The 13139-nt window shown below is 36.9% G+C and overlaps 1 protein-coding gene across 1 annotated transcript in view; it reads right to left on the minus strand.

The window, feature by feature from the left end:
- PPA1 (inorganic pyrophosphatase 1) overlaps positions 1-13139 on the minus strand; it is a 30595-nt gene that overhangs the window by 5342 nt on the left and 12114 nt on the right. The window contains exons 3-8 of the mRNA NM_021129.4: positions 10588-10641; positions 9636-9755; positions 6324-6410; positions 5287-5413; positions 1382-1509; positions 1029-1114 (exon numbers count right to left, since the gene is read on the minus strand). Coding sequence (NP_066952.1) covers positions 1029-1114; positions 1382-1509; positions 5287-5413; positions 6324-6410; positions 9636-9755; positions 10588-10641 — 602 coding nt within the window. The remainder of the gene's footprint in view (positions 1-1028; positions 1115-1381; positions 1510-5286; positions 5414-6323; positions 6411-9635; positions 9756-10587; positions 10642-13139) is intronic.

Here is a 13139-nt window from a genome sequence, read left to right on the forward strand (position 1 = left end):
CAAGACTCTGTCTCAGAAAACAACAACAACAAAGAAATACACCATCAAAATGAAAAATGAATCATCTTTGCTGACCTGTTATTTAACATACATTAAGACCATTTTCATAGAAATCGTAAGATACGAAAAAATAGAGAAGTTAACTTAAAAGCCAAATCTTTTTCCTTTTTTTTTTCTTTTGAGACAGGGTCTTGCTCAGGTGCCCCAGTTGGAGTGCAGTGGGGCAATCACAGCTCACTGCAGCCTTGATCTCCAAGGCTCAAGTGATCTTCCCACCTCAGCCTTGCTACAGGCAAGCGCCACCATGCCTGGCTAATTTTTTTTTAATTTTTAGTAGAGATGAGGTCTCACTATGTTGCCCCCACCAGTCTCCAATTCCTGAGTTCAAGTGATCCTCCTGCCTCAGCCTCCTAAAGTGCTGGAATTACAGGAATGAGCCATATAGCACCCAGACAAATGCCAACTCTTAGGACTGTACATTTTTACACATATAACTCTTCTCCATTTTTCTTCTGTTTGTTGGAAGGACAATGTTTTCATTTTATAGGACATTATCCTGACACAGAATAGAAGATTTCTGGGAGAATTATTTTTGTACATTGGCTGTTTCTCGTACTCTTTTTTTTTTTTTTTTGAGACCGAGTCTCGCTCTGTCGCCCAGGCTGGAGTACAGTGGTACGATCACGGCTCACTGCAGCTTCAACCTCCCCAGGCTCAGGTGATCCTCCCAACTCAGCCTCCCAGGTAGCTAGGACTACAGGTATGTACCACCATGCCCAGCTAATTTTTGTACTTTTTGTAGAGACAGGGTTTTTCCATGTTGTCCAGGCTGGTCTTCAACTCCTGGGCTCAAGCAATCCATCCACCTTGGCTTCCCAAAGTGCTGGAATGACAGGTGTGAGCCACCGCACCCAGCCTTGTATCTCTTTTCTAAGTGAAAGTAACAGTACAGTGTCTTATGATTATTAAAACCTTTTCTGCAAGCTGGTCTGCTTTGTGTGTTAAACATGCAAAGTGTTTACACTTACCAACTGATTCCTTTTCCATTCGTTTTCTTAGTCACTAATGCTTTCCAATGGTCATGAGTGCTTTTAATAATATCAATGGCAAAGTCCTATAATTTGAAGAGGTTTGCATTACAATGATAAAAAGGTATTATTTTCCTATTATCAACATTTCCCCAAAGCCTGATACTTTGTCTCTTCTGAATCATTTCCTTATTCTAAAAATGGAAGAGAATATTAAAGTGAATAAATAAACACCAAGACTGTGTTATGTTTCCAGACTTCTGTTTTGTGAATCTTTAGATGGTAACAATATGGTTAAATTATGAGTCTCAATACAAATGAGCCTAAAGCTACAGTTCTGAATGACATATTACCTTATCTTTAAATTCTGCATTAAACGCAAACTCATTTTCTGGTTTTCCATCAGGAACCTTATACCTTCTAAACCAGTCCACAGTAGCTTCTAAGTAGCCAGGTTTCAGCCGTTTGACATCATTGATATCTAAGAAGAGAAGAAGCATAAGATGACAGTGAGAATGATTTTTTTAAAAAGAAAGAAGAGAATAAGCAGATTTCAAGATGCACAAATAATTATACACTCAACAAAAATTCCAAGTACTTATTTTGAAAGAGCTGTGGAATGACTTATCACGGAAGTTCAAGATAACATTGGAGCGAAGCCCCTTGTTGAGAAGAGAAGCCATACACATATACATTGAAAGAAAATCATCTAGTATCTCTGAATAGCTCTGACACTAAGTACAGAGAACAATCAGTACAATAGTAATCTCTGTTAGGTAAGGGCAAACAGCTGGTGGCTACATAATGAAACAACCAGTTTGGCAAATGTAGATAATTCCTATGAGAAGTGTACAAGATACTGAAAAAGACAGAGGTTATCTTTTTTTTTTTTTCAGAGACAAGGTCTCGCTCTGTCACCCACGCTGGAATGCAGTGGCCCGAACAAGGCTCACTGCAGCCTTGACCTCCACAGTTCAGCGATCCTCTCACCTCAGCCTCCTGAGTAGCTGGGACTATAAGCATGCACACGCCCAGCTAATTTTTAAATTTTTTGTAGAAATGGGGTCTCGTCATGTTGCCCAGGCTGGTCTCAAACTCCTGGGCTCAAGCAATCCTCCTGCCTTGGCTTCCCAAAGCACTGGGATTACAGGCTTGAGGTACTATCCCTGGTCCAGAGGCAGAGGCTATGTCAGAGGATCACAACACTATTACATACTAAAAGATAAGAAAAATAGATTAGATTGATATCCATTGATGGGTTACGTATTAAATGTGACTAGACTTTGCTGGATAGTACAGGCACTGTACATAACAATACTTTAGTTCTGGCTGACAGAAAAGTGCACTGCTTTAAAAATTTTAAGTTTCTGTATAGCCATCAACAATGGCTAGCCTCAATGTTATCAAACTGCACTTCAAATAACAAACTCCTGCTCAATGCAAGCAAACAGAGATACACATCCTAAAAAGTCAGTTAGGAAAAGTATTATGAGGAAGAGAAATACATTCAACAATAACAAAAGCTTATTTATATTTGTATAAGATAACATTGCTTCACTCCAATTTATTTTTTTTTTTTGAGAAGGAGTCTCGCTCTGTCTCCCAGGCTGGAGTGCAGTGGCGCAATCTCGGCTCACTGCAAGCTCTGCCTCCCGGGTTCACGCCATTCTCCTGCCTCAGCCTCCTGAGTAACTGGGACTACAGGTGCCCACCACCATGCCTGGCTAATTTTTTTGTATTTTTAGTAGAGATGGGGTTTCGTGTTAGCTAGGACGGTCTCGATCTCCTGACCTCATGATTCGCCTGCCTCGGCCTCCCAAAGTGCTGGGATTACAGGCGTGAGCCACCGCGCCCGGCCGCTTCAATCCAATTTATAATCTGCATAAAGAATAGCATGCATTCTATTATCATAATATCACTAAAAGTATGGAAACTTTACAGAATGCACTGGGAAATGTTTAAGCACTAGTAAATTTCAAAGAACTTATAATTTACATGAAATGTGTCACCTGATATAGAAATAATTTGGAAATCCAGAAATCCAACATGCAAATGTTGATGTTTTCCAATAACAGAAACTAATTCTCCAATTATTCAGACACCAACTGAGTGCTCAGTAATTCACTGTGATTCTGATACTATCTACCTGGAGTTAGCATCAGATCTCAAAGGTTAGGGGCTCAGTCTCACAAGACTGCCCCACTTCAGATGCCTCCTGTACTTTTGACTATCAGCTATAAATTAGGGGTTTCTACAATCCTCTCCCCAGGTCCCCTAATTTGCTAAAATGGTTCACAGAACTCAGGAAAACACTGAAGTTTAAATTTCGTTATATAAATACAACTCAGGGACAGCAAATGGAAGAGATGCACAGGGGCAAGCTATAGGATGGACAATAGACACTGCCTTAGGTTGACATTAGGGAAAGCTGCATACTACTTGCGCCATGGGACCAGCCACCCCGAGAAAGTTTTCAGGGTTCTAATAACCTGAACTGCAGGAAAATAAAGCCTTAGTAAATGAGTGCTGACAGAGTGATGGGCTTGGCTTCACTAATTGTGGCCACAGCATGCCAAGTTCTCTTGCATAAGAAGCACGTTGGAAATGCACACACGGACCAACAGAACAGAGCCGTACTACCAAGTAGTGAACAGATGGTGTGAATGCACTCTCACCTTTCAAAATTGAAACGAAACATTAAAGGATTGGCATTCTTCCAGTCCTTCTTCAATGAATTAACACAGATGCAAATATACATCACATCATTTTGAGGGAACATGCTCTCAAGGTGACTCTTATCACTGCTGACATTGACCTCCATCACCTGGCTGAGGCAGTGTTTGTCAAGTTTCTCTGCTCTAAAGTCATCCTCTCCTCTCCCTTACCCACACTGTACTCTTTGGAAGGAAGTCACCAGGCACAACTCACAATTAAGGACCTCCTTGAGAATGGAGTATCTGCATAAATTATTTGGAATTCTTCTGCTTTGAGATTTGTCTATTCTTCCTCATTTGTCTATTTATTCAATCATTTATTTGTCAGTATAGACTCATGGAGATTTATTTTATGTTCCAGGTTATATTACAATACTACTTTATTTTCTTGCTCAAAGTGTTCTAGCTTTGGCAACTCCTATGTATGTACCCAATAATAAAAACATAAGTCCACACAAAAACTTGTACAGGAATGTTCATGGCAGCATTACACAGCCAAAACAACCCAAATGTCCATCAACTGATGAATGGATAAACAAAATGTAGTATATCCACACAATGGAATAATATTCAACCATAAAAAGGAGTACTGACAGATGCCACAATATGCAATATGGATAAACCTAGAAAACATTATACTAAGTGAAAGAAACCAGAAACAGCAACAACAAAGATCCATATATTGTACCAGTCCATGTATATGAGATACCTAGAATAGGTAGAATAGGCAAAGCTATAAAGACAAAAAGCAGATTAGTGGCTGCCAGGGCCTGGAGAGGAGGAGGGAATAGGGAATGACTTGAACTAGTGGTGATGGCTGCACAACCTTGTGAATGAATGAAATGCCACTGAATTTCACACTTTAATTAAAATGGTGAATTTTATGTTATGTAAAATTTACCACCAAAAAAAAAAAAAAAGGGAATGAAGTGCTGATACATACTACAATACGGATGAATCCTGAAGACACTTACTTCGCTAAGTGAAATAAACCAGACACAGAGGCCACCTATATGATGCCATTTACATGAAATAACAGCATAGGCAAATCCATAGGCACAAAGTAGATCTGCAGTCATCAGGGACTGAGGGAAGGGGGACAGGGAGTGATTGCCCATGGATACAGGATTTCCTCTGGGCTGATGAAATGTTCTGCAATTAGAGAGTGGTGATGGTTGTACAACTTAGTGAATATACTAAAAACCACTGAATTGTACATTTTACAATGGTGACTCTTTGATATGTGAATATCTCAATTAAATGTTTTAAAATAAATAAACATACCAACTGAGTGCTGGTATGTGGGGAAGGAAAGGACCAAAAAAACAGTAAGAACCTACCAGATTTTTTCTTTCCTGGAATGAAGGAGAAAGTTTACTTAGTTAATTACAAGTGCAGTCATAGAAATAATGCTTGTCCAGTGCTTTGTTCCTCCATCCTTTAACAGTTTGAAGGTAAGGGCTTACAATTCTGTCATTATAGGTTAAGTATGGTGGTGCTTATGAATTAATTAGAAAGACTTCAGACTTTTCAAATTTTCTTACCATTATAATTGGCTGCATCAGGATCATCCACATTAATGGCAATGACTTTCCAGTCGGTTTCCCCTTCGTCAATCATAGCCAATATGCCTAGAACTTTCACGCCAATTATTTCACCTCTTGCACATACCTGAGAGTCAATAGCCAAAGTCAGGACAACATTACAGAACCACACTCTAGAAGACAGTTTTACTTGGCTAACAGGAAATAAGAAAGAGGCCAAGTTCTTGAGAATTTACCTGAAGATTGTTCCTTTAAGCAAATTTTAAAAACCTAAATGAGTAAATGTTTCATCAGTCCTATTAAAGTTGAAAACAGGACTTATAGGTCCTATTTTCTTCTAGGTCATAGGGAAACCAGTACATAGCTCAGGGTAATCAATGTTTTTTGCACTGTCATTGATTATACTGAAGAATAAGTCCTCCATAGTCTCAAATACGTATCTTAATATGCTTTACCTTTTATTTTATAAAAGTCATGAGTTAAGCAAGTCATACGATGACTCAAAAACTTTATGACTTAAAAAACAAAATGATAACTTTGTTTTTAGTTGTTTACTATTTCTCTGCACCTGAGAGAGACATAAAGAAATAACTATAATCAGAATCTTAGAACAACCCTACTTGATGGAGGAGTTACTACCATGGATCTCCAACTCATGAGGTTATTTGGTTCGGGTCAATTTACTGATCATTCTAAATTGTTAGGCAAGATTTGCCATGTTTTGAGAGGGAATTTCCCTCCTGGTACCTTTCACCTATTGACTAATTATCCATCTTCTAAAGCAATGCAGAACATGTCCAGTTCTTCTAGATATATGTTCAATCATACATACATAGACACATTTTTTTCCAGACTAGATTTAAATGTAAAAATTATAATATACAAATGCTTAAAATGCAAGAAGCCTTTAATACCAAAGAGACATCATTATTTCACTAATATTCATGCATTTTATTCACAGTATTTTTTAAAGTATGAAATTTGGTATACTTCATTAATATCTCAACACTAAAGAAAAAAATGTCACATTTCATTACCTTGCTTCCAATTTCACACACATCAATTGGGTCATTGTCACCACAACAGCCAGTATGTTTATCATTGTGCCCTGGGTCTTCCCAAGTCTAAAAATATAAGACAGTGTATATCATTCCTATACATACTGACAAAATGGATCATGTTGAGAATAACAGATAACATCCTATGACTCTTCAGCTACTTTTTTCTCATTGTTTTAGTTCTTTATTCGCATTTAAGAATCTTAACTACACACAAGAGTTTCAATTAAATGCTGTAGCTCCTACTACACATCTAATGCTAAACTAAATTTAAGCTTTAAAACAGATAATGATCCTATTTAAAACAAGCAAAAGCCAACTACTCAATAACTGAGACAATAGGGAAACACAAATATAGACCCAAACGTTTACTTTAAAGATGTGTGGTTTTAGGCTGGGTATGATGGCTCATGCCTGTAATTCCAGCACTTTGGGAGGCTGAGGAGAGTGGATCACCTGAGGTCAGGAGTTTGAGACCAGCCTAGCCAACATGGTGAAACACTGTATCTACTAAAAATACAAAAATGAGCCAGGCGTGGTGGTGCATGCCTGTAATCCCAGCTACTTGGGAGGCTGAGGCAGGAGAATCGCTTGAACCCAGGAAGCAGAGGTTGCAGTGAGCCTAGATCATGCCACTGCACTCCAGCCTGGGCAACAGAGCAAGGCTCAATCTCAAAAAAACAAAACAAAACAAACAAAAAAAGAAAACAAAACAAACAAAAATGTGTGGTTTTTTTCTTTTTCTTTTTTGTAGAGACAGGGTCTCACTATGTTGCCCAGGCTGGTCTCAAACTCCTGGGCTCAAGTGATCCTCCCACCTTGGCCTCCCAAAGTATGGGATTATAAGCATAAGCCACTGTACCTGGTCTTAGATTTTCTTTATAATAAATTCCCAAAACAGAAGTAGATAGGCAATAATAGTAAAATGGAAAGGTTGTTTTTCTTCTTCCTTTTTTTTCTTTTTTTCTTTTTTTGCGACAGAGTCTTGCTCTGTCGCCCAGACTGGATGGAGTGCAGTGGCGCAATCTTGGCTCACTGCAACCTCTGCCTCCCATGTTCAAGCAATTCTCCTGTCTCAGCCTCCTGAGTTGCTGGGATTACAGGTGTATGCCACCATGCCTAGCTAATTTTTGTATTTTTAGTAGAGATGGGGTTTCACCATGTTGGCCAGACTGGTCTCGAACTCCTGACCTCAGGTGATCCTCCCACCTTGCCCTCCCAAAGTGCTGGGATTACAGGCATGAGCCACCACACCCAGCCAAAAGGTTATGTTCTGATGTTAAAAGTATCATCACTGACCAGGAGCCCGGACTGAAAAGTTTAATCAGAATTTTCTGGAGCTTTACATGACTGGTTTTCTTTCCTTCCTAAATTGTAAGCCAGAGTCCTTGCAGAACATCTCACAAAAGAACTGAAAGCCTGTGCTAGCCAGGATGTTAGGTTTAAAATGTAGCTGTTGCATTGGTTCTTTTTTCCTCCAACTAGAACACGTTACTCAGATTTGTTTGTCTACTCAGCTGGAGTAAAGGCAAAAAGATAAATGAGAAGGGGGATAAAGGAAGACCACATCTAACAAATCCAACATTAAGAAAGCAAAATCCAACCCACAGAAGAGTAAGTATTTCAGCAATGTTCTCCTACAAGGATGATATATCAAGGCTAAATACTATTAATAAATCAATTGAGGCCGGGCGTGGTGGCTCATGCCTGTAATCCCAGCACTTTGCAAGGCCGAGGCAGGCAGATCACAAGGTCAGGAGTTTGAGACCAGCCTGGCCAATACAGTGAAACCCTGTCTCTAATAAAAATACAAAAAATTAGCTGGGCGTGGTGGTAGGCGCCTGTAATCCCAGCTACACAAGAGGCTGAGACAAGAGAATCACTCGAACCTGAGAGGCAGAAGATGCAGTGAGCCAAGACTGCGCCACCGCACTCCAGCCCGGGCGACAGTGCAAGACTCCGTCTCAAAAAAAAAAAAAAAATTTCAATTAAAGTATAAGGTGAAACACTGTAATTAAGACAAACAAATGACTTTGTGCTTACCTAACAAGCTAGATGGGTCAGACCTATGTTCTACTATCTTATGGGTTGTTTCATAGTACGTTCCATTTAACAGACTTCATTGTTAATAAAAACAAACCATTTATCAACAGCAAAAAAATTAAACTGAATATTTAGTTAGTGTCTCAGCATTAAATTTTAAGTGCCACAGCACTGGCCTAGCCAAAATAGAATTAAATAGATGTCATTTACTCATTATAGATAAGATCCTAGTGATTCTTCAAATATCAAATAAGAACCTACTACATACTGACATTGTGCTGGGAATAAATTGGTAAACAACCCTTCTCAAAAGGTTGACTATTAGGCCAGACATGGTGGCTCACACCTGTAATCCCAGCACTTTGGGAGGCCAAGGCAGGCGGATCACAGGTCAGGAGATCGAGACCATCTGGCTAACACAGTGAACCCCGTCTCCACTAAACTGCAAAAAATTAGGTGGTGGACACCTGTAGTCCCAGCTACTTGGGAGGCTGAGGCAGGAGAATGGCGTGAACCTGGGAGACGGAGCTTTTGCAGTGAGCCGAGATCACGCCACTGCACTCCAGCCCGGGTGACAAAGCAAGACTCCATCTCAAAAAAAAATTTTTTTAATTAAAAAAAAAAAAGGTTGACTACTTAAGAAAACATGATCCTCTCATTACTTTACCACAAAGAGCTTGACCTGAAGAAGAGGGAATCAAAACTCTAAACATAAAGTCAGCAGCTATGACAGCTTGTTGTGTGCAGGTATTAAGTGCTTTATTTTTTGAAATAACCATACCACCTACATACTGTGAATAGCTCAGGGAGGCGATATGGACGTCTCAAGGAGAAAGAAAGGGAGGCAAGTTAGGTAAGCTAGGAATTGGCCATCTTGGGATTTGAACTCTGGTCTGTCTGGTGCCAAAAATCAGTGCTTTTGACTACTACCATACACTCTTTCTTGACTGAACAGACTTGCAACTCAGTCTGTAGAGAATTTATATAGCTTATAACCAGTCCAAAAAAGAAGAAATATTTCAGGAAAGAATAAACGTTCAAATCTGAATTTAAACATTGTAAATATTTAGTTTATCTTGAAAATAAGTTATTTAAGGAAGCATTCTGAGTTAATTATCCCTTCTTATGTTTTCAAAATCTACCATAGAAAAAACTCTCCACAGGTATTCAAACCTTTTTTACTAATAGCAGTAAATTAATATTTAGTAAGCTAAAAAGTACATTGTCAGCAGTTGCATGAAGACATACCTGAGGGATGGCACCATAGTTCCAGATATATCCTTTATACGGGAACAAATTCGCAACATAGCGAAGTTTTCCTTTTTTCACATCTTGTTTAATAGGGTTTAAAGGGTCCTTTGTAGCAATCTGAAATAAGAAAATTTCAAATCTTTGCATATTTGGATGTGAAATACTATTCAAATAAGGATCTGAGGAAATGAATTATGGTACCTATGTTCCCTAATTCCACTTTAATGATATATTTTATCCCTAACACTTTTATAATTGAACTAAGGTGTTTCCATAATCGGCCATTAAGTGAAAGGTTATGTGAGGTATAAAGGAACTATCAAGAAGGGAAAAAGAACATTTACTAATTCTAGAAAGCAAAGACTAAAATTAGCTGGAATAAATTCTAATGTTTGAGTAATAAAAATACCACAATTTTTATTAAAAGGGCAAAATAAATATTATCCAATTTTAGTTTTCCTTCACAGAATTTAAAATTATTCAAATACTTGGGTATTTATTACACAAAAAAAGTGATTACTGTTAAGAGTTTGTGATATAAAATATGTTATAAATATCCATAACAAAAAGGCAATGATGGTAGGTATCATCAGAAAGAAACTAACACCATGCAACTGAAATTCCAATGAGAGTATCTGTGGCTGGGGTGACTAAGGAGGGGTCAGTGAAGGGCTTACAGAGAGTAAGAGGAGAAAAAGTAATTCTAGGCTTTGGGAACATTGGAAGCAAAGATGTTGGGAAGAAAAGTTTGGGGCATATTTGTAAACAGTTGAGTTTAGCTGGAGCCCAAAGGGAAGACTAGTAGGCAATGGGAGATACAACTAGAAAATAGACTGGGACCAGACAGAGAAAAACCTTGACGTTCAGATGGTTCATCCTTGATCAAGTCAGTGTGACTAGATCAAAACCAATATCCTAAGTCTGACTCAAATGTAAGGTGAAATATTACCTCCATTTTTGCATTAGACCAGCGTGGTACTTCAACTACCATGTGAAACACATCCTGAAAAAACAAAGAGAAAGTGAGATGGTCACAGGAGCCAATTTGTTCTCTGAGGGAGCATGCACTATTTCTTCCAAAGTCAAACTGTTCATTGTATCAGATCTTTGAAGTCAATTGGATTTTCAACAAAATGCATCAAAAAAAGAGAATGATGGATGAAGAAATAATGCAATTATAGGAAAATATTCATTATAGAATCAAGGTGGTCAGTATATGATTGCTTACGGTATAGTTCTTCTTAATTTTTATTTACTTCTAAATTTTTTATAGAGGCAAGGTCTTACTGTGTTGCCCAGGCTGGTCTCAAACTCCTGGCCTCAAGTGATCCTCCTGCCTCCACCTCCCAAAGTGCTAGGATTACAGGTGTGAGCCATCTTGCCCAGCCAACTTACTATATAAATCTTTTAACTTTTCTGTATGCTTTAAGTGTTTCAGAATAAAAGCTGACAGTGGAAAGAATGTTCCTAGGAAGGAAACAGTTCTTAAATAAACGTAACAGAACCTGTATCTCTGAAGAAGACCATCTTCAAAACACTCTCCAAAGGCCAGTGTTATTTCCTTCAGAGACACTGCAATTACTCAAAATGTTTTTGGAGCTTCTATTTCAGAGACAGTTTATAAGACAAACCCCAAGTCAGACTAATTACTTGATCATACTTTAGTTTATAAGACGAACCCCACATCAGCCTAATTACTTGGTCATACTTTAGTTTTAGCATCAAACAAAACTCATCAGCTTCATTATCCACATTATTCTCCCAATTCGGCTGTTTTTAGAAATAAAGCCCCCCTGAAAAGGACTTTGACCTTGAAGATAAGAGAATATGCTTTAAAAATATTTTAATCAATGATAGTTCTACTGTAATTGGCTTATAGCCTTAAACTGACTACTATAAAATAGATGATATATTCAGGGAGTAAATTCCCAGATGTGCAGTTTAAAAACACAATGAAAAAACAAACCATACTTTGCCAACCCATTTTGCACACTGGAGTTAAATATGCCATAGGTTATTTAATTAAACTTGAGCTTTAATTATTCAGAATACTATTTTTTTTCACGGAATAGAACTTTAACTGCAGTTTTTCAGTTTTTAGCCTCTACAAAGGGCACAGATGAAGCTAAATCTGCAATTACTGTTTTCTGTCACCCAGGCTGGAGTGCAGTGGCACAATCTTGGCTCACTGCAACCTCTGCCTCCTGAGTTCAAGTGATTCTACTGTCTCAGCCTCCTGAGTAGCTGGGATAACACAGGGGCGTGCCACTACACCTGGCTAATTTTTGTATTTTTAGTAGAGATGGAGTTTCGCCATGTTGGCCAGGCTGGTCTCAAACTCCTGACCTCAGGTGATCCACCCGCCTCAGCCTCCCAAAGTGCTGGGATTACAGGTGTAAGCCACCGCACCTGGCCTGCAATTATGCTTATAAAAAGTACTTTTTTTTTTTTTTTTTGAGACAAGGTCTCACTCTGCCACCTAGGCTGGAGTGCAGTGGTATGAGCTTGACTCACTGAAGCCTCAACCACCCTGGCTCAAGCAATCTTCCCATCTCAGCCTCCTGAGTAGCTGGAGCTACAGATGCATGCCACCACATCCAGCTAATTGTGTGTGTGTGTATATGTATATATGTGTGTGTGTGTGCGTGTATGTGCATATATATATAATTTTTATATATATTATATAATTTTATATATATAAATTATATATGTATTATATATAATTTTTATGTATAATATATATATAATTATATATATAATATATATAATTATATATTATATATAATTTATATATATATTATATATAATTTATATATATATAATATATATAATTTATATATATATTATATATAATTTATATATATATAATATATATAATTTATATATATATAATATATATAATTTATATATATAATATATATAATTTATATATATATAATATATATAATTTATATATATATAATATATATAATTTATATATATATAATATATATAATTTTTATATATATTATATATATAATTTTTATATATATTATATATATAATTCTTATATATATAATATATACTTTATATATACTATATATATAATTTATATATAATATATATAATTTTTATATATACTATATATATAATTTATATATAATATATATAATTTTTATATATATACTATATATATAATTTATATATATAACATATATATAATTTATATATATAATATATATATAAATTATATATATATATAATTTATATATATATATATATATTTTTTTTTTTTTTTTTTTGTAGAGATGGAGCTTTGCCATGTTACCCCAGACTGGTAAAGTACATTTTAAGAACTTAACTTAAAATGAAAATCACTTGGTTACACCACTCTTTAGAATTACTTCTTTGCTACTTTCCATCAAAAAACGGGAACTGATAAGCCACAAGGGAATAAGTCAAAGGTTTCAAGTCAATAATTACCTGCTGCTACCAAGCAGAAAAACTACACTGATTTTGATT

This window comes from Homo sapiens, chromosome 10, assembly GCF_000001405.40.
Source record: "Homo sapiens chromosome 10, GRCh38.p14 Primary Assembly".
In the NCBI taxonomy this organism is placed as follows: domain Eukaryota; kingdom Metazoa; phylum Chordata; class Mammalia; order Primates; family Hominidae; genus Homo; species Homo sapiens.